The sequence below is a fragment of the Homo sapiens genome, chromosome 22, assembly GCF_000001405.40.
Source record: "Homo sapiens chromosome 22, GRCh38.p14 Primary Assembly".
Classification (NCBI taxonomy): domain Eukaryota; kingdom Metazoa; phylum Chordata; class Mammalia; order Primates; family Hominidae; genus Homo; species Homo sapiens.
The window spans coordinates 28,657,419-28,684,294 of NC_000022.11; the positions used below are offsets into that span (position 1 = coordinate 28,657,419).

Consider the following 26,876-nt stretch of genomic DNA (forward strand, 5'->3'; position numbering starts at 1 on the left):
CTGACAACACATTTCTGGTACCCTAAGCAATACAGAATAAAGTGGGCAGAATAAAGGCAACAAAATAATCTTCCACACTGCAAAATAAAACTACTACCTTCACTACTGTCCCACTCAGAAATCAGAAGTAAATCAATTCACAGATGTGTACAATTTATTTTCTAAATTATTATTTCTGGGCTGGGCGTGGTGGCTCACGCCTATAATCCCAATGCTTTGGGAGGCCAAGGTGGGCAAATCACTTGAGGTCAGGAGTTCAAGACAAACCTGGCCAACATGGTGAAACCCCATCTCTACTAAAAATACAAAAATAAACTAGGTGAGATGGCGCACACCTATTGTCCCAGCTACTTGGGAGGCTGAGACGTGAGAATCGCTTGAACCTGGGAGGCAGAGGTTGCAGTGAGCTGAAATCACACCACTGCACTCGAACCTGGGCGGGCAACAGAGCAACACTCCATCTAAAAAAAAAAATTATTGATTGAAGCTCAAAAATATGCTGGGGTTGAAAATACAAAATTAAAAATGGTCCATGTTCCTTAATATTAGATACTTGCCTTACATTAAAACTTTGCATAAATGGAAATTTAGTAAAGAATTTTTTACTTTCTTACAATATTGTTAAACATAATAATATGCATTTCTAGTGTCATGATTAAGGATTCAGAATTACAAAAGGCCAATGTTAAAATACTTATGCATCTGAAGTTATTATGTACAAAAAGTAATAAAATATTACACAAGAAAAATTTTCAAAAAATTTTTTGAGCCAAATTAATGAGTTCTCTTTCACAACTCCCTCTAAAATTAATCAAAATGTAATGACAATTGTGGGAAACCAAGCACATGTGAAAAAGTTCTGACCAGTAAATATATGAAATAATTCTAACTCTTCCAACTTCAATTAGAAATATGTACTCTAAAGCAGAAGAGTAATCATATTTCATTATAGCTGCTAACATGTTTACAACCCATCTTGCAAGGAGTAAAAAATCTTCATTAAAAATTTTTCTCTAAATTGCTTTGGGTTCACAAACAGACATGATTTGAAACATGGCAGCATAGTCAAAATCATCGAGATGGAAAATAGAATGGTGGCTGCCAGAGGCTGGAGAGAGGGAATAGGGATTTTATTGTTTAGTGGATAGAGTTTCACTTTTACAAGATGAAGAGTTATAGAGATGGATAATGGTGATAGTTGCACAACATCATGAATGTATTTAATTCCACTTAACTGTACACATAAAAATGATTAAGATGGTAATTTGACATACATTTTACAATTTAAAAATTGAGTGCCAGGCGCAGTGGCTCATGCCTGTAATGCCAGCACTTTGGGAGGCCAAGGCAGGTGGATCACCTGAGGTCAGGATTTCCAGATCAGCCTGGCCAACATGGTAAAACCTCGTCTCTACTAAAAATACAAAAATTAGCCGGACATGGTGACGCACATCTGTAATCTCAGCTAGTCAGGAGACTGAGGCAGGAGAATTGCTTGAGCCTGGGAGGTGGAGGTCACAGTGAGCCAAGATCATGCCACTGCACTCTAGCCTGGGTGACAGAGTGAGATTCTGTCTCAAAAAAAGAAAAAAACAATTGAAGAAAAAAAGAGATGATCTCCCTATCATGTAAGAAAACAGCAGGAAGGTGTCTATCTGCAAAGCAGACAGTGGGCCCTCACCAGAAGCAAACTGACTGGCACCTTGACGTTGAACTTCCTAACCTCCAGAACTGTGAGAAATAAATGTTTGTTGCTAAAAACAAGAACAAACAAAAAATAACTCCATCACAGTATAAAAATGTCTCTAAACATTCAACTGTTTCAACTCTTACAAGGGTAAGAAACGGACTCAAATTAATTTTTTTTTGAGACAGAGTCTTGCTGTGTTGCCCAGGATGAAGTGCAGTGGCACGATCTTGGCTCATTGCAACCTCCGCCTCCCAGGTTCAAGTGATTCTCATGCCTCTGCCTCCCAAGTAGCTGGGCCTACAGGTTCATGCCACCACGTCCAGCTAATTTTTGTGTTTTTAGTGGAGATGGGGTTTTACCAGTTGGCCAGGCTAGTCTCAAACTCCTGAACTCAAGTGATCCACCTGCCTCAGCCTCCCAAAGTGCCAGGATTACAGGTCAAAATTACTATTTATTAATAACTACATTTCTAGCTTCACTAGAAATTCCTGCTCAAATAAAGAATATGCCTGGTGTGGTGGCTCATGCCTGCAATCCCAACTACTTAGGAGGCTGAGGCAAGAGAATCCCTTGAGCCTAGGAGTCCGAGGCTGGGGTGAGCTATAAGAGCACCAATGAACTCCAGCCTGGGTGACAGGGCCAGACACTGTCTCTAAATCTTTTATTTTAATTTAAAAATAAAATCTGAAATGCATTTTTTTTTTTCTTGAGACAAGGTCTCGCTCTGTCACCCAGGCTGGAGTGCAGTGGCATGATCATGGCTCACTGCAACCTCAACCTCCTGGGCCGAACTGATCCTCCCACCTCAGCCTCCCAAGTAGCTGGGACTACAGACACACACCACCACGCCCAACTAATTTTTGTATTTTGGAGATGGGGTTTCATCATGTTGCCCAGGCTGACCTTGAACTCCTGGGCTCAGGCGATCCTCTCATCTTGGCCTCCCAAAGTACTAGGATTACATGTGTGAGCCACCACACACAGCCTGAAATGCATTTTTTTTAACAGCAAAAAAATATTTTCAGGAAATTATATCTTTATTTCACAAACCTGGTCTAAAACTAAAATTCTGAATCAAAACACAACTTATAGTACTAACACATTTTCTCTTTAACTTTTATTTGTACTATGAAAATTGATTCTTCCTCATCAATAACCAAGGAATATACAAGTAGTGATTTTCTTTATCATTTCTTTCATCAGCACAGTAAGAAAAGGAAATTTTTTTTCTTTTAGAGACGGAGTCTCGCTCTGTTGCCCAGACTGGAATGCAGTGGCACCATCTCAGCTCACTGCAACCTCTGCCTCCCAGGTTCAAGTGATTCTTCTGCCTCAGCCTCCCAAGTAGCTGGGACTGCAGGCACACACCACCACACCCGGCTAATTTTTTGTTTTTGTTTTGTTTTGATTTGGTTTGGTTTGGTTTGGTTTTTTGAGATGGAGTCTCACTCTGTCACTCAGACTGGAGTACAGTGGCGCTATTCGGCTCACTGCAACCTCCACCTCCTGGTTTCAAGAGATTCTTCTGTCTCAACCTCCCGAGTAGCTGATACTACAGGCATGTGCCACCACACCCGGCTAATTTTTGTGTTTTCAGTAGAGACGGGGTTTCACAATGTTAGCCAGGCTGGTCTCGAACTCCTGACCTCAGGTGATCCACCCACGTTGGCTTCCCAAAGTGCTGGGATTACAGGCATGAGCCACCGCGGCTGGCCAATTTTTGTATTTTTAGTAGAGATGGGTTTCACCATATTGGCCAGAATGGTCTCGAACTCCTGACCTCATGATCTGAGAAAAGGAAAAAAAAAATTTTAAATATATAATTCCCTTTATTTCAAAGTTGCATAGGAAATTAGAATCATTCTTTTGCTATCTTAAAAACTACTGCTTTTAAGGCCAGCCGCAGTGGCTTACACCTGTAATCCCAGCACTTTGGGAGGCCGAGGTGAGCGGATCACCTGAGGTCGGGAGTTCGAGACCAGCCTGACCAACATGGAGAAACCCCGTCTCTACTAAAAATACAAAATTAGCCGTGTGTGGTGGCACATGCCTGTAATCCCAGCTACTTGGGAAGCTAAGGCAGGAGAATCCCTTGAACCCAGGAGGTGGAGGTTGCGGTGAGTCGAGATCGTGCCATTGTACTCCAGCCTGGGCAACAAGTACGAAACTCCATCTCAGAAAAAAAACAATTGTTGTTATATAGCCTCATTTCATATAATCCCTTCTTCATTATTTAATTTCCATCATCCAAGAAACATTTATATCAGGTACTACATTAAGTATTAGTTTAATAACAGCTTTATAACATTCATTTATTCATTTATTTTTAGAGACTGGGTTTCATTCTGTGGCCCAGGCTACAGTGCAGTGGTGCCAACATAGCTCACTGTAGCTTGGAACTACTGGGTTCAAGGGGTCTTCCTGCCTCAGCCTCCTGAGTAGCTGGGACTACAGGTACATGCCACCATACCCGGCTAATTTGACTGATTGATAGACAGATAGTTTTGTTTTTTTTTTTGAGACAGAGTCTCACTCTGTCACCCAGGCTGGAGTGCAGTGGCACGATCTCAGCTCACTGCAACCTCTGCCTCCCAGGTTCAAGCAATTATCCTACCTCAGCTTCCCAAGTAGCTGGGATTACAAGGGCATCACCACACCCAGCTAATTTTTGTATTTTTAGTGGAGATGGGGTCTCACCATGTTGGCAAAGCTGGTCTCGAACTCCTGACCTCAGGTGATCCACCTGCCTCGGCCTCCCAAAGTTCTGGGATTACAGGCATGAGCCACTGCACCTGGCCTAAAAAATATATTTTAGAGACTGGGTCTCACACTATGTCACCCAGGCTGGTCTTGAACTCCTGACCTCAAGCAATCCTCCTACTTCAGCCTCCCAAATAGCTGAAATACAGAAAGGAACAACCATGCCTGGCTCAGTTTTGTAACTTTCAATACATAAAGAAATTACACTGCTCACATTGTAATTAATTTCATCTTTTCATTAAATTAATAGATAATAAAATTTGATAATAAACTTAATGTCAAATACTGCTTGATCAGTATTATAGAGACAAATTCCAGAATGGTGTGCCAACATAACCTTAAACCTCACAATAAAAACTAGGTTTTAACAATATCCACAGGGAAATTATGTTATTTTCTGGCAACAAGTCTAGCGTTTAGTAGCAAAAGGTAGTTATAATTGATCACTATTTGCTTAGTGATCATACAAATCAAAGACAGTCTAAGGCAAATGGTTAAGAACAGATTCCAGAGCCAGGCTGCTAAATTAGAATCCAAGGCAATTCAGTTTCCTAGCTGGATGGTATTGATAAAGTTACTTAACCTCTCTGTACTACACTTGTCTCATATGTAAGATGGGGATAATAGTGCCTACTTCATAAAGTTGTGAGAATTAAATTAGTTAATATATGTAAAGTATTTAAACAGTACTGACACAGAGTACACACAATATAAATGCTAGTCTAGCTATAATAATCTCAAACACCTATACTTACAGAAGGAAGAGTGCTTCCACACAAATACTCTATAATTTATATGGTTCTTCCAAATAAGCCTAATGAAAATTTTATTTTTCATAAAATATATTTGGAATTTGTGGCCAATTTCTTGAACAATTATTATTAAATGGTTTTCATAAATCTTTGTGAATATTAGGAAGCAATGGATTCAACAAAAGCATTATGTGACAGTGGAGCAATATTCAAAACTCCTGTTGCTACACAAGCCAAAAATGACAGGGATCCAAGACAACTCAAAACAAAAATATTACACACAGAACAGAAGCAACTGTGCAGTATCAGGAAATGCAATACACTTTTTCTAGTGATAAGAAACTTCCACCGGGCGCGGTGGCTCACACCTGTAATCCCAGTACTTTGGGAGGCTGAGGCAGGCTGATCTCGAGGTCAGGAGATCGAGACCATCCTGGCTAACACAGTGAAACCCCGTCTGTACTAAAAATACAATAAATTAGCCAGGCGTGGTGGCGAACGCCTGTAGTCCCAGCTACTCGGAAGGCTGAGATAGGAGAATGGCGTGAACCCAGGAGGCAGAGATTGCAGTGAGCCGAGATAGTGCCGCTGCACTCCAGCCTGGGAGACAGAGCGAAACTCCGTCTCAAAAAAAAAAAAAAAAGAAAGAAAGAAAGAAAAAGAGAGGGAGGAGCCAAGATGGCCGAATAGGAACAGCTCCGGTCTACAGCTCCCAGCGTGAGCGACACAGAAGACGGGTGATTTCTGCATTTCCATCTGAGGTACCGGGTTCATCTCACTAGGGAGTGCCAGACAGTGGGCGCAGGCCAGTGTGTGTGCGCACCGTGCGCGAGCCGAAGCAGGGCGAGGCATTGCCTCACCTGGGAAGCGCAAGGGGTCAGGGAGTTCCCTTTCCGAGTCAAAGAAAGGGGTGACGGACGCACCTGGAAAATCGGGTCACTCCCACCCGAATATTGCGCTTTTCAGACCGGCTTAAGAAACGGCGCACCACGAGACTATATCCCACACCTGGCTCAGAGGGTCCTACGCCCACGGAATCTCGCTGATTGCTAGCACAGCAGTCTGAGATCAAACTGCAAGGCGGCAGCCAGGCTGGGGGAGGGGCGCCCGCCATTGCCCAGGCTTGCTTAGGTAAACAAAGCAGCCGGGAAGCTCCAACTGGGTGGAGCCCACCACAGCTCAAGGAGGCCTGCCTGCCTCTGTAGGCTCCACCTCTGGGGGCAGGGCACAGACAAACAAAAAGACAGCAGTAACCTCTGCAGACTTAAGTGTCCCTGTCTGACAGCTTTGAAGAGAGCAGTGGTTCTCCCAGCACGCAGCTGGAGATCTGAGAACGGGCAGACTGCCTCCTCAAGTGGGTCCCTGACCCCTGACCCCCGAGCAGCCTAACTGGGAGGCACCCCCCAGCAGGGGCACACTGACACCTCACACGGCAGGGTATTCCAACAGACCTGCAGCTGAGGGTCCTGTCTGTTAGAAGGAAAACTAACAACCAGAAAGGACATCTACACCGAAAACCCATCTGTACATCACCATCATCAAAGACCAAAAGTAGATAAAACCACAAAGATGGGGAAAAAACAGAACAGAAAAACTGGAAACTCTAAAACGCAGAGCGCCTCTCCTCCTCCAAAGGAACGCAGTTCCTCACCAGCAACAGAACAAAGCTGGATGGAGAATGATTTTGACGAGCTGAGAGAAGAAGGCTTCAGACGATCAAATTACTCTGAGCTACGGGAGGACATTCAAACCAAAGGCAAAGAAATTGAAAACTTTGAAAAAAATTTAGAAGAATGTATAACTAGAATAACCAATACAGAGAAGTGCTTAAAGGAGCTGATGGAGCTGAAAACCAAGGCTCGAGAACTACGTGAAGAATGCAGAAGCCTCAGGAGCCGATGCGATCAACTGGAAGAAAGGGTATCAGCAATGGAAGATGAAATGAATGAAATGAAGCGAGAAGGGAAGTTTAGAGAAAAAAGAATAAAAAGAAATGAGCAAAGCCTCCAAGAAATATGGGACTATGTGAAAAGACCAAATCTACGTCTGATTGGTGTACCTGAAAGTGATGTGGAGAATGGAACCAAGTTGGAAAACACTCTGCAGGATATTATCCAGGAGAACTTCCCCAATCTAGCAAGGCAGGCCAACGTTCAGATTCAGGAAGTACAGAGAACACCACAAAGATACTCCTCGAGAAGAGCAACTCCAAGACACATAATTGTCAGATTCACCAAAGTTGAAATGAAGGAAAAAATGTTAAGGGCAGCCAGAGAGAAAGGTCGGGTTACCCTCAAAGGAAAGCCCATCAGACTAACAGCGGATCTCTCGGCAGAAACCCTACAAGCCAGAAGAGAGTGGGGGCCAATATTCAACATTCTTAAAGAAAAGAATTTTCAACCCAGAATTTCATATCCAGCCAAACTAAGCTTCATAAGTGAAGGAGAAATAAAATACTTTATAGACAAGCAAATGCTGAGAGATTTTGTCACCACCAGGCCTGCCCTAAAAGAGCTCCTGAAGGAAGCGCTAAACATGGAAAGGAACAACCGGTACCAGCCGCTGCAAAATCATGCCAAAATGTAAAGACCATCGAGACTAGGAAGAAACTGCATCAACTAATGAGCAAAATCACCAGCTAACATCACAATGACAGGATCAAATTCACACATAACAATATTAACTTTAAATATAAATGGACTAAATTCTGCAATTAAAAGACACAGACTGGCAAGTTGGATAAAGAGTCAAGACCCATCAGTGTGCTGTATTCAGGAAACCCATCTCACGTGCAGAGACACACATAGGCTCAAAATAAAAGGATGGAGGAAGATCTACCAAGCCAATGGAAAACAAAAAAAGGCAGGGGTTGCAATCCTAGTCTCTGATAAAACAGACTTTAAACCAGCAAAGATCAAAAGAGACAAAGAAGGCCATTACATAATGGTAAAGGGATCAATTCAACAAGAGGAGCTAACTATCCTAAATATTTATGCACCCAATACAGGAGCACCCAGATTCATAAAGCAAGTCCTCAGTGACCTACAAAGAGACTTAGACTCCCACACATTAATAATGGGAGACTTTAACACCCCACTGTCAACATTAGACAGATCAACGAGACAGAAAGTCAACAAGGATACCCAGGAATTGAACTCAGCTCTGCACCAAGCAGACCTAATAGACATCTACAGAACTCTCCACCCCAAATCAACAAAATATACATTTTTTTCAGCACCACACCACACCTATTCCAAAATTGACCACATAGTTGGAAGTAAAGCTCTCCTCAGCAAATGTAAAAGAACAGAAATTATAACAAACTATCTCTCAGACCACAGTGCAATCAAACTAGAACTCAGGATTAAGAATCTCACTCAAAGCCGCTCAACTACATGGAAACTGAACAACCTGCTCCTGAATGACTACTGGGTACATAACGAAATGAAGGCAGAAATAAAGATGTTCTTTGAAACCAACGAGAACAAAGACACCACATACCAGAATCTCTGGGACGCATTCAAAGCAGTGTGTAGAGGGAAATTTATAGCACTAAATGCCTACAAGAGAAAGCAGGAAAGATCCAAAATTGACACCCTAACATCACAATTAAAAGAACTAGAAAAGCAAGAGCAAACACATTCAAAAGCTAGCAGAAGGCAAGAAATAACTAAAATCAGAGCAGAACTGAAGGAAATAGAGACACAAAAAACCCTTCAAAAAATCAATGAATCCAGGAGCTGGTTTTTTGAAAGGATCAACAAAATTGATAGACCGCTAGCAAGACTAATAAAGAAAAAAAGAGAGAAGAATCAAATAGACACAATAAAAAATGATAAAGGGGATATCACCACCGATCCCACAGAAATACAAACTACCATCAGAGAATACTACAAACACCTCTACGCAAATAAACTAGAAAATCTAGAAGAAATGGATACATTCCTCAACACATACACTCTCCCAAGACTAAACCAGGAAGAAGTTGAATCTCTGAATAGACCAATAACAGGCTCTGAAATTGTGGCAATAATCAATAGTTTACCAACCAAAAAGAGTCCAGGACCAGATGGATTCACTGCCGAATTCTACCAGAGGTACAAGGAGGAACTGGTACCATTCCTTCTGAAACTATTCCAATCAATAGAAAAAGAGGGAATCCTCCCTAACTCATTTTATGAGGCCAGCATCATTCTGATACCAAAGCCGGGCAGAGACACAACCAAAAAAGAGAATTTTAGACCAATATCCTTGATGAACATTGACGCAAAAATCCTCAATAAAATACTGGCAAACCGAATCCAGCAGCACATCAAAAAGCTTATCCACCATGATCAAGTGGGCTTCATCCCTGGGATGCAAGGCTGGTTCAATATACACAAATCAATAAATGTAATCCAGCATATAAACAGAGCCAAAGACAAAAACCACATGATTATCTCAATAGATGCAGAAAAAGCCTTTGACAAAATTCAACAACCCTTCATGCTAAAAACTCTCAATAAATTAGGTATTGATGGGACGTATTTCAAAATAATAAGAGCTATCTATGACAAACCCACAGCCAATATCATACTGAATGGGCAAAAACTGGAAGCATTCCCTTTGAAAACTGGCACAAGACAGGGATGCCCTATCTCACCACTCCTATTCAACATAGTGTTGGAAGTTCTGGCCAGGGCAATCAGGCAGGAGAAGGAAATAAAGGGTATTCAATTAGGAAAAGAGGAAGTCAAATTGTCCCTGTTTGCAGACGACATGATTGTTTATCTAGAAAACCCCATCGTCTCAGCCCAAAATCTCCTTAAGCTGATAAGCAACTTCAGCAAAGTCTCAGGATACAAAATCAATGTACAAAAATCACAAGCATTCTTATACACCAACAACAGACAAACAGAGAGCCAAATCATGGGTGAACTCCCATTCACAATTGCTTCAAAGAGAATAAAATACCTAGGAATCCAACTTACAAGGGATGTGAAGGACCTCTTCAAGGAGAACTACAAACCACTGCTCAAGGAAATAAAAGAGGACACAAACAAATGGAAGAACATTCCATGCTCATGGGTAGGAAGAATCAATATCGTGAAAATGGCCATACTGCCCAAGGTAATTTACAGATTCAATGCCATCCCCATCAAGCTACCAATGACTTTCTTCACAGAATTGGAAAAAACTACTTTAAAGTTCATATGGAACCAAAAAAGAGCCCGCATTGCCAAGTCAATCCTAAGCCAAAAGAACAAAGCTGGAGGCATCACACTACCTGACTTCAAACTATACTACAAGGCTACAGTAACCAAAACAGCATGGTACTGGTACCAAAACAGAGATATAGATCAATGGAACAGAACAGAGCCCTCAGAAATAATGCCGCATATCTACAACTATCTGATCTTTGACAAACCTGAGAAAAACAAGCAATGGGGAAAGGATTCCCTATTTAATAAATGGTGCTGGGAAAACTGGCTAGCCATATGTAGAAAGCTGAAACTGGATCCCTTCCTTACACCTTATACAAAAATCAATTCAAGATGGATTAAAGATTTAAACGTTAAACCTAAAACCATAAAAACCCTAGAAGAAAACCTAGGCATTACCATTCAGGACATAGGCGTGGGCAAGGACTTCATGTCCAAAACACCAAAAGCAATGGCAACAAAAGACAAAATTGACAAATGGGATCTAATTAAACTAAAGAGCTTCTGCACAGCAAAAGAAACTACCATCAGAGTGAACAGGCAACCTACAACATGGGAGAAAATTTTCGCAACCTACTCATCTGACAAAGGGCTAATATCCAGAATCTACAATGAACTCAAACAAATTTACAAGAAAAAAACAAACAACCCCATCAAAAAGTGGGCGAAGGACATGAACAGACACTTCTCAAAAGAAGACATTTATGCAGCCAAAAAACACATGAAGAAATGCTCATCATCACTGGCCATCAGAGAAATGCAAATCAAAACCACTATGAGATATCATCTCACACCAGTTAGAATGGCAATCATTAAAAAGTCAGGAAACAACAGGTGCTGGAGAGGATGCGGAGAAATAGGAACACTTTTACACTGTTGGTGGGACTGTAAACTAGTTCAACCATTGTGGAAGTCAGTGTGGCGATTCCTCAGGGATCTAGAACTAGAAATACCATTTGACCCAGCCATCCCATTACTGGGTATATACCCAAATGAGTATAAATCATGCTGCTATAAAGACACATGCACACGTATGTTTATTGCGGCACTATTCACAATAGCAAAGACTTGGAACCAACCCAAATGTCCAACAATGATAGACTGGATTAAGAAAATGTGGCACATATACACCATGGAATACTATGCAGCCATAAAAAATGATGAGTTCATATCCTTTGTAGGGACATGGATGAAATTGGAAACCATCATTCTCAGTAAACTATCGCAAGAACAAAAAACCAAACACCGCATATTCTCACTCATAGGTGGGAATTGAACAATGAGATCACATGGACACAGGAAGGGGAATATCACACTCTGGGGACTGTGGTGGGGTAGGAGGAGGGGGGAGGGATAGCATTGGGAGATATACCTAATGCTAGATGACACATTAGTGGGTGCAGCGCACCAGCATGGCACATGTATACATATGTAACTAACCTGCACAATGTGCACATGTACCCTAAAACTTAGAGTATAATAAAAAAAAAAAAAGAAAGAAAAAGAAACTTCACATGGGGCCACATGTCTAATAAAGGTGACTGAATCCCAAAATTATATTGGTAACATGGAAATTCCTGATAGGGGAAGAATATTCCCAGAAGTGTGACCAGTTAGGGCCAAAATAAAAGGTACAATTTACCCAATTATTATACCTAAGTACCCGGCCTTATTAAATATATGTTCCTCAATATCAAATTGTACTAAAAATCAGGAAACTAAGCTCCTAGTAGAGAACTGGTCAAAGGGAAGATCTTTGTGGAGTCAGCAGTTTCCTCTGTCCTACAATTTGGCAAAATAATCTCATAAGCACAAGAAGGTTAATATGCTTGCATTAAAAATGTTAAGTTACTTATAATCCAATTTAAATGTAAGTTCAAATACCTTAACATGTTCACATTACTTTTTTAATTCACAAAAACGTTCTTATCTATCTTTATTTTAAGATGTTTTCCACATACATGCTTAGTGAATTTTCTTTTAGGAGATGTAAGAGAGTCTACAAATCTTTATTCTACTATTTCCCAAAATATACCCAATTACTGGCAAAAAATGTTATTATTAAACTGATGAGAAAATATAAAGGTTTATTACTGGATTAAATAAGTTTTTCCATATGCTTGAATTTTTTATACACACAGTATATACTCTATTATATGTATACACAGAATACAACTCTATCAGTATTGAACTTAGTTTGTCATTCCATAAAATGGCCATAGATGGCCAGATCAAGTAATCCTACTCATTTTACCCTGTATTACTGAAAATAAAAATGGGGGGGGGGCAAATAAAGACTTTAATATCTTTAATGATGTTTTTTAAGGGTTAGACTTTTATTTTCTGACATTTTTCTACACCTCTAATGAAATACATTTCACATATCGTAAAACTTACCCATTTAAAGAATCCAGTTCAGTGTCTTTTGGTGATTTATTCAGAGTTTTGCAACCATTACCACAATCTAATTTTAGAATAGTCTCATCACCCCATACCCATCAGCAGTCATTCCCTCCTCCTCCCCACCCAACGTTCGTGACAAACACTAATCTTCTTTCCCTCTCTATGCATTTGTCTATGCTTAACTATTTCACATAAATAGAATCATTACAATATGTGATCTCTTGTGACTGGTTTCTTCCGCTTAGAATGTTTTCAAGGTTCATCCATGTTGTATCATGCCTCAGTACTTCTTCCTTTTATGGCAGAATAATACTCCACTGGAAATAATACTCCACTGGAAAAAAATATTTTGTTTATCCAGTCAACAGTTAGTTGTACTTGTGGCTGTTTTCACTTTTTGGCTTTTATAAATAATATAGCAATGAACATTCATGTTCACACAAGTTTTTGTGTGAACAATTGTTTTGATGTCTTTAGGGCATATATATATATATATATATGAGTGGAATTACTGGGCCATATGGCAAGTCTATGTTTAACATTTTGAGGAGATGCCAAAGCATTTTCTAAGACAGCTGCACCACTTTACATTCCAGCAATGTATGAGAGCTCCAATTTCTCCACATCCTCACCAGTACTTGTTATTGTCTATCTTTTTAACTTTAGCCACCCCAGTTGATGTAAAGTGGATCTCATTGTGGTTTTGATTGCATGACTGATGACTAACGATGTTGCATACCTTTTCATGTTATTGGCCATTTGTATATCTTTAGGAAATGTCTACTTTTTTGGTTTCACTCTGTCACCCAGGCTGGAGTGCAGCAGTGTAATCACTGCTCACTGCAGCTGCGATTTCCCAGGCTCAAGTGATCACGGGCTAACATTTTTTTCTATTTTTTTTGTAGAGAAGAGGTGTTACTATGTTGCCCAGGCTGATCTCAAACTCCTGGGCTCAAGTGATCCTCCCACCTTGGCCTCCCAAAGTGCTAGGATTACAGGCATGAACCACCTCAACCGGCCTGTTTATTTTTAAATTCGGTTGTCCTTTTATCATTGCATAGTAAGTTATTAATATATTCTGAATAATAAGTCCTTTAACAAATATATATTTGCAAATATTTTCTTCCTTGGCCGGGCGCGGTGGCTCACGCCTGTAATCCCAGCACTTTGGGAGACCAAGGCAGGTGGATCACGAGGTCAGGAGATCGAGACCATCCTATCTAACACAGTGAAACCCCATCTCTACTAAAAATACAAAAAATTAGCCAGGCGTGGTGGCGGGAGCCTGTAGTCCCAGCTACTCAGGACACTGAGGCAGGAGAATGGCGTGAACCCGGTAGGCAGAGCTTGCAATGAGCCGAGATCGCACCACTGCACTCCAGCCTGGGCGACAGAACAAGACTCCATCTCAAAAAAAAAAAAAAAAAAAATTTCTTCCATTATGTGGATTTTGTTTTCATTTTTTTTTTGAGACAGAGTCTTGCTTTGTCGCCCAGGCTGGAATGCAGTGGCCCAATCTCAGCTCATTGCAACCTCCACCTCCCAGGTTCACATGATTCTCCTGCCTCAGCCACCCAAGTAACTGGGATTACAGGCGCCTGCCACCATGCCCGGCTAATTTTTGTGTTTTTAGTAGAGACAGGGTTTCACCATGATGCCCAGGCTGGTCTCGAACTCCTGACCCCAAGTCATCTGCCCACCTCGGCCTCCCAAAGTGCTGGGATTACAGGTATGAGCCACTGCACCTGGACAAAATAAGGCTTTTATCAGAAAATTAAAATAGAAATAAACCATTTAAAACTAAAACACTTTTTTTTTTTGAGACAGAGTCTCGCTCTGTCACCCAGGCTGGAGTGCAGTGGTGTGATCTCAGCTCACTGCAACATCCGCCTCCTGAGTTCAAGTGATTCTCCTTCCTCAGCCTCCCAAGTAGATGGGACTATAGGCTAATTTTTTGGGTTGTTTTGTTTTGAGACGGAGTCTTACTCTCTCGCCCAGGCTGGAGGCCATCTCGGCTCACTGCAAGCTCCGCCTCCCGGGTTCAAGCAGTTCTCTGCCTCAGCCTCTGGAGTAGCTGGGATTACAGGCGCCTGCCACCATGCACAGCTACTTTTTGTATTTTTAGTAGAGACAGGGTTTCATCATATTGGCCAGGCTGGTCTTGAACTCCTGACCTCGTGATCCACCCACCTCGGCCTCCCAAAGTGCTGGGATTACAGGCATGAGCCACCGCGCCCGGCCAATTTTTTGTATTTTTATTAGAGACATGGTTTCACCCTGTTGGTCAGGCTGGTCTCAATCTCCTAACCTCATGATCCACCCGTCTCGGCCTCCTAAAATGCTGGGATTACAGGCATGACCCACCACACCTGGCCTAAAATATTTATTACTAAAAATCAATAATATTTTCTTGCTGTTGAGAAAGAGAAAGCAACAATAATGTCCTTCCACTCTTTGACTAAATACCAGGAATTATTTTGCTAGACACCAAAAGTCATATTTGGAGAACTGAAGAGGTAATAATAGTAACTGGAGAGTAGAACAGAAAAAGAGGGCAAGTAGGTGTTGTAGTATGGCTGTAATTGGCCTCACTGTGACCACTACAGAAAAAACCCTTTTTCATCATAGCTATACTGCCCCTAGGCAAGGACGTGAAGAACATACCTTATTTTACAAGATTAATAGCGTAAAACTAACATATAGTAATCTGGAATGTGATTTTTTGAGATCCCACTTGATAAATAATTGATTGTAATGAGGATGTGGTTTTGTGGATAAAGAGTAGGATTGCTAAGAAATAGCAAATGGTCTAAGCACAACAAACCTGACTTTGTGTTGTGGTTTTGCAGGAGTTAAAAAAAGAAGTTGGGCCGGGAGCGGTGGCTCACACCTGTAATCCCAGCACTTTGGGAGGCTGAGGCGGGCGGATCACGAGGTCAGGAGATCGAGACCATCCTGGCTAACATGGTGAAACCCCGTCTCTACTAAAAATACAAAAATTTAGCTAGACTTGGTGGCAGGCGCCTGTAGTCCCAGCTACTTGGGAAACTGAGGCAGGAGAATGGCGTGAACCCAGAAGGCGGAGCTTGCAGTGAGCAGAGATCGCGCCACTGCACTCCAGCCTGGGCGACAGAGACTCCGTCTCAAAAAAAAAAGTTAACTGCGAATGTTAAATAAGAGAATGCATTATTATTGTATGTAGCTTCCCCCCCTTACCTGGTACGTACTTGGCATTTCTATGCCATAATGGAAGTCAAAAATCACCATGATATTGTTTCAACATACTATGGACGTAGTTCAGAAAATGTTAGGACAAATTTGATATCAACATTCTTTGCACTCACAGAATTGCATAAAGAGTATCACTTTGGTAAAGATGAAAATTACTAAGATTATTGTCCTCTAATGTCAATCATCATAAAATGAATATCAAATTAGCATTGATACTTATATTTTGCTAAAACATGCCTATAGAAAACTGGTTAGTGTTTGTTTTTGGAAGACTATAGATAATACAGTGTGAATATACAAGAAACATGAGATGTTCCAAGCATCATATTTGTATCATACTATGTCTCTAGTTTCTCTTCTTAGAAAATAACAATGCACCCAGCTGCTGAAGAGACACCAAAATAAATGTTCTACCAAGTTTAAGTTCAAACATCAGGCTTCCCGCTAACAGTTTTTAAAATAGCAATAATTTAAAGGAAGAAAGATTGTAACCATGAAATTTAATGAAAAAATATTGTTTCTGCTTTCAGGAAAAAAAGTAGTGAAAAAACAGCACACAAAACAAGAATCATAGAGTAAAAATAAAGAGCTTTCAATTATACTTTTATTATTTTTAATATTTAAAATTCACTGTCAAATATTCTATATAGCAACCTTGATTTCACATGCATTTGCAATACAACTATGTGGTATGAGAGACTTGTCTTCTTTAGTGGTTCCTCAAGCGCTCACAGGGATTTCTTGGGTCGTAGAAAGGTGATGGGGACAGGAAGAGGCTTGGGGTTTCTGTTTGTGGTTTTTTCTTTGTGGTTTTTTTTTTTTTTTTTTTTGGTCTGTGGTTTTGGAGTTTTTGTTTTTCTTGGTTTTTGATTGGGTTTGTCTGTTTTTTGTTTTGTGGCTCACTTTTAACTGGAATTAATTAGCAGAAGAAGATAAAAAACAAATATCAAATCCCTACCACAGGCAAGGCATTGTTCTAAATATATACCTACATCCTCTTTTATTTAACAATTCTTTGGAATGGATATTACTATGCAATTATACATATGAGAACCATAAGATGCGTAAGAGTTAAGACCTGTTGGCTGGAGCAGTGGCTCAAGCCTGTAATTCCAGCACTTTGGGAGGTTGAGGCGGGTGGATCACTTGAGGTCAGGAGTTCAAGACCAGCCTGGCCAACACGGTGAAACCATGTCTCTACTAAAAATACAAAATTAGCTGGGCATAGTGGTGCACATCTGTAATCCCAACTACTTGGGAGGCTGAGGCAGGAGGATCACTTGAACCCAGGAGGCAGAGGTTACAGTGAGCCAAGATCACACCACTGCACTCCAGCCTGGGCGATGGCGAGACTCTGTCTCCAAAAAAAAAAAAAAAAAAAGGTAAAACATGATCATTGTAAAAATCCCAGCTGTCTTTTTTACAGAAATTGATAAGCTGATCCTAAAATCCATTTGGAAATATAAGGGACCCAAAATAGCCAGTCTTGAAAAAGAACACAGTTAAAGGACTTACACTTAATTTCAAAACCTATTACCAAGCTACAGTAATGAAACAGTGTAGTACTGGCATAAAGACAGAAAGAAATACACATCAAGAGAACAGAACTTAAGAGTCCAGAAATAAAACCTTATATATGTTCAAGTGATTCTCAAAAAAGATGTGAAGACCATCAATAAAGGAAAGGACACTCTTTTCAATATATAGTGCTGGGATAACTTTTTGTATCTATATACAAAATAATAAATTTGGACCACATACCACACACACCTCACACCACACACAAAAATTAAAACAAAATGGATCAACAACCTAAATATAAGGGCTAAAAGCATACAACTCTTAGAAGAAAACATAGGGGTAAATCATAGGGCTAAATCTTCATGACCTTAGATTTGGCAATGGCTTCTTAGACATGAAACCAAAATCATGAGCAACAAAGAAAAAACAGATAAGCTAGACTTCCTCAAAATTAAAAACTTTTTTGGCATCAGAGGACATTATCAAAAGAGTAAACCGGGTGTGGTGGCTCACACCAGTAATCCTAGCACTTTGGGAGGCAGAGGCTGGTGGACCACTTGAGCCCAGGAGTTCCAGACCAGCCTGGGCAACACGGCAAAACTCCATCTCTACAGAAAATACAAAAATTAACCGTGCCTGTAGTCCTACCTGCTCAGGAGGCTCAGGTGGGAGGATCAACTGAGCCCAGGGAGGTCCAGGCTGCAGTGAGCTGTGATCCTACCACTGTACTCCAGCCTGGGCGACAGAGTGAAACCCTGTCACACACACACACACACACACACACACACACACACACACAATGTAAAAAGAGGCATGAGCCTCTTTTATAGCTGCAGTGGCTCACATCTGTAATCCCAACACTTTCTGGGAGGCTGAGGTGAGAGGATCTCTTGAGGCCAGGAGTTCAAGATCAGCCTGGGCAACATAGCGAGACCCCTTATCTACAAAAAATTTTTAAATATTTGCCAGGTGTGGTGGCACGTGCCTGTAGTCTTAAACAATTATCATATGACCCAGATAGTCTATTCCTTAGGTATATACCCAAGGGAAATGAAAATATACATCCACACTAAAATTTGTACACAAATGTTCATAGCAGCATTATTCATAATAGCCGAAAATTGGAAAAAAAAACTCACGTGCCTATCAACAGAGGAACTGATAAAATATGGTATATCCATTCAAAAGATTACTCAGCATTAAAAAAGAATGAAGTGCTGATATACGCTACAGCATGGATAAACCTTGAAAACACTGTGCCACGTGAAATAAGTCAATCACAAAAGACCATATGTAGTAAGATTTCATTCTGTGAAACCTCCAGAAGAGCTAAACTCAGAGACAGAAAGTAGGCTAGTTATTGCCAGGGACTAGGGGAAAAGGCAATAAGGATGACTGCTAATGGGTATGGGATTTCTTGTGGACTGATGAAAATGGTCTGAAAGTATCTAGATACCTGTCTTGTTTGTGTGATTCTGTGAACATATTATAAACCACAAAATTCTGCACTCAAGGGGATTTCATGGTAGGTGAATTTATCTCATTTATCTTTATCTCAATAAAGCTTTTTAAAGACACTTTAAAAAGACATATCTGTATAAGCTACAAAAATAACACACTGAGAGACTAAAATGCCTAATTTTTCCATTTTTCTTCTTCAGCGCAATCTCAAGTCCAAAAGTCTTTCCTTCCTATATATGCATATTTTGTCCAGTGAAACAAGAAACTCTATTTTTTTATTAGAAATAAAAAAAAAAAAAAGCCAGGTGTGGTGGCTCACAGTTGTGCTTCCAGCTACTCAGAAGGCTGAGGCAGAAGGATCACTTGAGGTCAAGACTGGGAGTTCAAGACTAGCTGAGGCAACACAGCTAGATCCTGTCTTTAAAAATATTTTTTAGGCCAGGCGCAGTGGCTCACGCCTGTAATCCCAGCACTTGGGAGCCCGAGGAGGGTGGATCATTTGAGATCGGGAGTTCAAAACCAGCCTGGACAACATGGTGAAACCCCATCTCTACTAAAAATACAAAAATTAGCCGGGCATGGCGGTGGGCACCTGTATTCCCAGCTACTTGGGAGGCTAAGGCAGGAGAATTGCTTGAGCCAGGAGGGTGGAGGCTGCAGTGAGGCCAAGATCATGCCATTGCACTCCAGCCTGGGTGACAGAGCAAGACTCCATCTCAGGAAAAAAAAAAAAAAAAAATATATATATATATATATATATATATACACACATATATATTAAGTTAAAACCCTACTGAAATGAAACCAATAAAATAAAATTCAATTTAATTAAAAAATAGTTCCTGAAATATTAATTTTCAAACAATTCTATTTTAGCTTTGACTCTGAACAAAATATAAACCTCAATTTCAAAATATCACAAAGATTGGCTGGGGGCAGTGGCTCACGCCTGTAATTCCAGCACTTTGGGAAGACGAGGCAGGTGGATCACCAGAGGCCAGGAGTTCCAGAGCAGCCTGGCCAACATAGGGAAACCCAGTCTCTACTAAAATAATACAACAAAAATTAGCCGGGTCTAGTAACCCCAGCTACTCAAGAGGCTGAGGCATTAGAATCGCTGGAATCTGGGAGGTGGAGGTTGCAGTGAGCGGAGATCATGCCACAGCACTCCAACCTGGGCAACAGACTGAGACTCTGTCTCAAAAAAATAAAAATAAGGCCAGGTGCCGTGGCTCACACCTGTAATCTCAGCACTTTGGGAGGCCAAGGTGGGCAGATCACTTGAGGTCAAGGAGTTTGGGACCAGCCTGGGCAACACAGTGAAACCTCCTCTCTACTAAAAATACATAAATTAGCTGGGCATGGTGGCACATACTTGTAATGCCAGCTACACCAGAGGCTGAGGCAGGGGAATCGCTTGAATTCGGGAGGTGGAGGTTGCAGTGACCTGAGATTGTGCTACTGCACTCCAGCCTGGAAGACAGAGTGAGGCTCCGTCTCAAAAAAAAAAAGAAAAAGAAGAAAATTTAAATTAAAAATTTAAAAAATCACAAAGACTACAAATACTCAGGTTTAAGCAAATTCCCACCTTTCTTGAATTAACAGTAATTCATATTTGCTTTGTCATAAATGTAGATATTTACCTGCCCCAATGGAATGAAATCCTAAAAGCCTAGTGTTCCCAAATGATGAAGAGAAAGAAACATGCATATTTTAATTTAGAATTTTGATTCAGAATTAATTTTAACCTAGCTGGAGTATACATAATCATTTATGTATTTATTTACTTATTTAAGAGACTGGGTTTCATTGTGTTATCCAGGCTGGAATGCAGTGGCACAACCTTGGCTCACTGCAACTTGTACTTCCTGAGCTCAAGCGATCCTCCCACCTCAGCCTCCAGAGTAGCTGAGACTGCAAGTGCACTCTACCACACCCAGCTAATTTTTGCGGAGACGAACGAGTCTCGCTATGTTTCCCACACTGGTCTCTAACTCCTTGGCTCACTACAGCCTCAAGCCCCTGGGCTCAAGCAATCTGCCTCCCAAAGTGCTGAGATTACAGGAGTGAGCCACCGCACCCGGCCTAGTGGATAGTGTATACTAAGCAACATGTACCCTGCTTTTGCCTAAAACATACTGAAAACATGGCATTGAACACAATCACAAAGTTGGGAGCTGAGAAAAATCATATACTGTAAAATAAATCTGAGATATTAATCTCAAGAAGCTCCTGAAAATGTCTCAAGAACTCCTATGCTGCACTCTCCCTAATAATTTAGACTTTCTACAGATATTTTCTGATCATCTACAGTGTGTCAGGCACCATGCCAGGTACCAAGATGCCATGGTGAGGTATACACAAAACCGGCTCCTGCTTGCAGGAAGCCTACTCTCTAAAACAGTGCTTGCCAAGCTCGCCTGATCACAACTTCGGAGCTTGTTTAAGTTCAAAATCGGCTTCCCTGCTGTGGTGAGCCACAGTCCGTGGCATTTTGATCAGGTGCTCCCAATGATTCCTACGCTCTAACGGGTTTGGGAGGCAAGGGTGGGGGTAAGCTCGAGAGCCCAGAGACATCCCGTCCAGCGGGAGCCCCACCTCTAAAGTCCATGTCGCTCAGCATCCTTCCCCCTGACTAGTGGCCCAAACACAGCACGAAGCTGAGGTGGGTGGAACGCTTTTCAAAACAACGCTCTTTGATGAGCCACCGACAGACTTGCTCGCCTCCGGGGACGAAGAGCTCACTCCTCACAAACCCCACCCCGGAAAGGTAGCACCTGAGCATCCCGGGCTGCGCCGACACCTGTCTCACCGCGGGTGCCGCTTACCGCTCCGGTGGACTCCAGTCCCCAGATTCCGCCCCACGGGGGCTGGGGGAAAAGGGGAGGCGCTGGGCGCATTAGGCGCTGACTGTATACCGACACCCCCCACCCCGGTGTGCGCAGGCCAACACCCATACACACCCTCACACACCCACACACATCCACACACACTCTCGCGGAAACTGAGCCAGGCAGGCGGCGGACCAGGTCCCGCCGCCTCACGGCTCGCGGCTGGGATCGAACCCGGACTGCGAGACGCCTTCCGCCTCGCAGGCGCTCCTCTGCCGCTGAGGCCCGGCCCGGCTCCCACCGCCGGAGTTTCACAAAGAAAGTCTCCCGGCCCGAGCCCCTCACGCACTCACCGGCGCCGACGCCGGCGGCGACTCTGGCTCCCGCCGCCTTCGGCTCCTTGCGGGGGTCGGCCCTTGGGTCGGCTCGGGCGCCGGCGGCGGCGACTGCTCCATCCCCACGGGGCCCGGGCCGCGTCCGCCTCGAGCTAACGGTCCCGCCAGCTAGGCGCGCGCGCCGGTTCCGCGCGCCATGTTCCCGCCGTGCTGCGCGCCGCCGCGGCGCCCCTCACTGCCCCCAAACCGCGCGCGCGCCCCCGCGGGCCCACACATGCACCGCGCACGCGCGCGTTCGCCGCGCCCCCTCCCCGCGCGCCCCGCCTCGCGCCCTCTGGAGCTGGCCGCTGTTCCCAGTGTCTCGCCCACCCCCGCCGGGCCCGTCGGACTCGGCGGGTGAGCGCGCGGTTCCCGGCTCCGCACCGCCGCCTGCCTCTCTGCAGACCACCCCGGACCCGACCCCTCGGCCATTTCCCCACACTGCCGCTTTCGCTTCCCCCACGACGCGGGGCCTGGGACGACGGTCTGGGCCAAGAGGAACTTCCCCGCAAGAAGTGTCGAGTTAAGGACGCTACTAAGGGGGCGGGATCGCCATCGTGGAGGTGTGCAAGCACGTGCCTGCGTCCCGGAGACAGCCAGACTCAACGGAGAAGCTGAGTTCAAGTCCCACATCTCCACTAACCCTTGCGTGTTAGGGTCAGGGCTTCGGGACTTGTTTCTCCTAAATCTTTTTTTTTTTTCTTTTTTGAGACGGAGTCTTGGTCTGTCACGCAGGCTGGAGTGCTGTGGCGCGATCTCAGCTCACTGCGAGCTCCGCCTCCCGGGTTCATGCCATTCTCCTGCCTCAGCCTCCCCAGTAGCTGGGACTACAGGCGCCGGCCACCACGCCCGGCTAATTTTTGTATTTTTAGTAGAGATGGGGTTTCACCATGTTAGCCAGGATGGTCTTTATCTCCTGACCTCGTGATCCTCCCGCCTCGGCCTCCCAAAGTGCTGAGATTACAGGTGTGAGCCACCGCGCACGGCCTGTTTCTCCTAAATATAAGGACTCAATATAATAATAAGAGAAAGCCTCAGCACCGCGCCTAGCACTTAGTAGGTAGTGATCAAGAGAGAAGACCTCTTAAGTGGTTTTAATGGTTAAGGACCACAGGTTCTCAAGAAAGGGAAATCTCAATTCAAGTCCCGCCTCCATCTCTTGAAAACTGAGAAACCTTGAACAAGTCACTCAGAGGAGCCAAAGATCCTTGATTTCTACATGTGCAAAAGGGGAGTGTGGCAGTAGCACTGCACAGGGTTGACTGAGCTTTCAGGGAGATGATGACTGTACGATCATGCCTCTCTTAATCACGGGATGGTTCTGAGAAATGCCTCCTTAGGTGATTGCGTCATTGTGCAAACAGCAAAGTGCATTTACACAAACCTTGTATAGCCTTGTATAGCCTACTACACACCTAGGCTGTATGGCGTAGCCTATTGCTCCTAGGCTACACACCTCTACAGCCTGATACTTTACTGAATATACTATAGGCAATTATAACACAATGTAAGTACTTGTGTACCTGAACATAGAGAAGGTACAGTAAGAATAGAGTATAAGAGATTTTAAAATGGTACTCTTGTATAGGGCACTTACCATGAAAGGAGCTTGCAGGACTGGAAGATGCTGTGGATGAGTCACTGAGTGTGAAGGCATAGGACCTTACTGTACACTACTGCAGACTTTATAAACACCATATGCTTAAGCTACACCAAAATATTTTAAAGCTTTTCAATAAATTAACCTTAGCTTACTGAAATTTATCTTTAAAAATTTTGCCAGTCGTGGTGTCTCACACCTGTAATCCCAGCACTTTGGGAGGCTGAGGCAGGCAGATCATTTGAGGTCAGGAGTTCGAGACCATCCTGGCCAAGGCGGTGAAACCCTCATCTCTACTAAAAATACAAAACTTAGCCAGGCATGGTGATGTGCACCTGTAATCCCAGCTACTCAGGAGACTGAGGCAGGAGAATCGCTTGAACCCAGGAGGCGGAGGTTGCAGTGAGCCAAGATCGTGCCATTGCACTCCAGCCCGGGCAATAACACGCATGGAGCTGTCATCTCCTGTGATAACAATGCCTTCTTCTTCCAAAATACTTCCTGAAGGACCTGCCTGAGGCTGTTTTATAGTTTACTATTTTTTAATGTAAGTAGAAGATATACATTCTAAAATTACGAAAAACACTACACCAGGGCTGGGCACAGTGTCTCATGCGGGTAATCCCAGCACTTTAGGAGGCTGAGGCGGGCAGATCATTTGAGGTCAGGAGTTTGAGACCAGCCTGGGCAGTGTGGTGAAACTCCATCTCTGCTAAAAATATGAAGATTAGCTGGGTGTGGGGGTGGGTGCCTGTATTCCCCGCAACTCAGGAGACTGGGGCAGAAGAATCGCTTCAACCTGGGAGGCAGAAGTTGCAGTGAGCCAAGATCGCGCCACTGCACTCCAGCCTGTGTGACAGAGCAAGACTCTGTCTTAAAAAAAAAAAAAACAGTAACATGTTGTTCATTATCAAGTATCTTATATTGTATGTAATTGTACATGCTATGCTTTTATAGAACTGGCAGCACAGATTTGTTTACACCAGCATCACCAGAAACACAGAAATGCGTTACCCTAACATTACAATGGCTACGTCACTAAGCAATAGGAATTTTTCAGCTCCATAATCATCTTATGGTACCACCGATTTACATGCGGTTTTTCATTGACTAAAATGTCATTATACAATACATGACTGCATATCCCAGGGCCCAATGCCTGACACACACAAAGCTGAGTTTCACTGGTGTAATTCCCACCCTATCCATCCAAGACTCCTAAAAGTTTAATGAAATGGACTCTGCTCCCAAACCCTGTAGTATAAGTAGCTGGGAGGAGTTTGCCCAACTTGGGGCTGCAAGGACTCTTTCTTCCCACATCTTTGCTTTCCTTTCTCTCCCCCAAACTTCTCTGAAAACCCTAAAGTTGGCAGAAAAATGGAAAATGTTTTCCCTACTAACAAAAAGAATCTTCGAGAGTCTCTTGGTATTTGTAAATGGTTGCATTTACTAGTCTGTTTTTTTTTGGTTTTTTTTTTTTGTTTTTGTTTTTGAGATGGAGTCTTGCTCTGTCACCCAGGCTGGAGTGCAGTGGCGCGATCTCGGCTCACTGCAACCTCTGCCTCCCAGGTGCAAGCGATTCTCCTGCCTCAGTCTCCTGAGTAGCTGGGATTAAAGGCATGCACCACCACACCCAGCTAATTTTTTTGTATTTTTGGTAGAGACGGGGTTTCACCATGTTGGTCAGGCTGATCTCAAACTCCTGACCTCGTGATCCACCTGCCTTGGCCTCCCAAAGTACTAGGATTACAGGCGTGAGCCACCGCGCCCAGCCTTCTAGTCTGGTATTTTTCTTATTCAAGTAACAAAGAAAAAAAAAAATAACTCCACCAAGAGTAAAACAGAAAAAAGGAACAAAACTGATAGCATGACTGAAAAGGCCTGGGGTGGCACCTCACTTCAGGCATAGCTGGATACAGGCACTTATACAAGATAAGTCTCTCTAATCTCTCAGTGCTTGCTTCCCTTTGATTACTTCATTCTCACGCAGTTCTTTCCACATAGTGGCCTGAGCAGCTCCTAAGTCACATCTCCCCAAGAAAGCAGAGGCTGTTCCCCAATAGTTCCAGCCAAAGTCCCAGGACTGACTTTCACTGGACCCATTTGGGCCACATGCTCCTGCCTCAGCCAATCACTACATCCAGCCTGGTCAGACCTGGCTTTCATGAAGCCCCTTCAGGAAGCGGTTGGGGTCATCCCCTCCAGAAGGACATGGGGAAAACCAGAAAGTGGGAAGAGGGATGCTTCCTTCTGAAAAATAGGGATGCAATTACCACAAGAGGTATCAGGTACAGGGCTGGCACAAACAAGAGCTATCCACGGCACCATCATGTAGGCATGCAGCAGGTCCACCATGAAGCAACCTGGCTGCTCTGCAAAACGGAGTCACAGTTAATTCAGCCAATGAGAAATATCCCTCTACCTGGGTTCCCACCATTCACCCCAGGCCTGGCACGTCCCAAATTTGCTTGGTCAAAGGCAAGCAAATTAACCACCTTTTATGCTGCACAAAAAGCTGAAAAGATTATCTTACTTCTCTGGCTTAAGAACTTTCTATGACTCCCTCTGGCTACTTATGTGGCTCCCCCACCCTTAATGATAGAAGCCAACATTCATGAATCCCTTACCACATGCCAGGTACTTTATGGACCTGCCTCCTCCAAACAGCGTAGAAGAGGTTGGTACTCTTACTGCACCCATTTTATAAATATGGAAACAAAGGCTCAGCAATTTGAGGTAATTTACCCAGAGCCAAAGTTAGGAAGTGCAGAGTTCGGATTAGCACAATATTGTTCTCGCCATTGCCATCCCAGCTCCATTTGTTCATGTTTCAAAGTCCTACACCCACCTCTAGCTGGGGGGCCAGTGGGAACAGCTCCACAGCAGAAGAAGCCTCTAGGAACCCCTTCAGCTTCTGCAGTGGTGGGGGTGGGGGGTAGGTGCAAAAGATGCTTAGCTTTACCATCCTCTCCCATAACTTTTTTTTTTTTTTTTTTGAGATGGATTCTCACTCTGTCACCCAGGCTGGAGTGCAGTGGTGTGATCTCAGCTC

At 43.2% G+C, this 26,876-nt stretch overlaps 1 protein-coding gene across 5 annotated transcripts in view, besides 1 other annotated feature; it reads right to left on the reverse strand.

The window, feature by feature from the left end:
• The window catches only part of TTC28 (tetratricopeptide repeat domain 28), a 701,827-nt gene extending 679,405 nt beyond the window's left edge, over positions 1-22,422 (reverse strand). For all 5 annotated transcript variants that reach the window (NM_001393403.1, NM_001145418.2, XM_011530019.3 and 2 more), the window contains exon 1: positions 22,204-22,422. In NM_001393403.1, the coding sequence (NP_001380332.1) occupies positions 22,204-22,305 (102 nt within the window). In that variant the 5' untranslated portion in view covers positions 22,306-22,422. The remainder of the gene's footprint in view (positions 1-22,203) is intronic.
• Positions 21,348-21,852: an enhancer, noted in NCBI's record as "H3K27ac-H3K4me1 hESC enhancer chr22:29074754-29075258 (GRCh37/hg19 assembly coordinates)". NCBI's record gives its function as "activates a minimal SCP1, AML or CMV promoter by ChIP-STARR-seq in naive H9 embryonic stem cells {active_cell/tissue: H9 hESC(naive)}" and the evidence as "EXISTENCE:reporter gene assay evidence [ECO:0000049][PMID:30033119]".
• Positions 22,423-26,876: the final 4,454 nt, after the last annotated feature.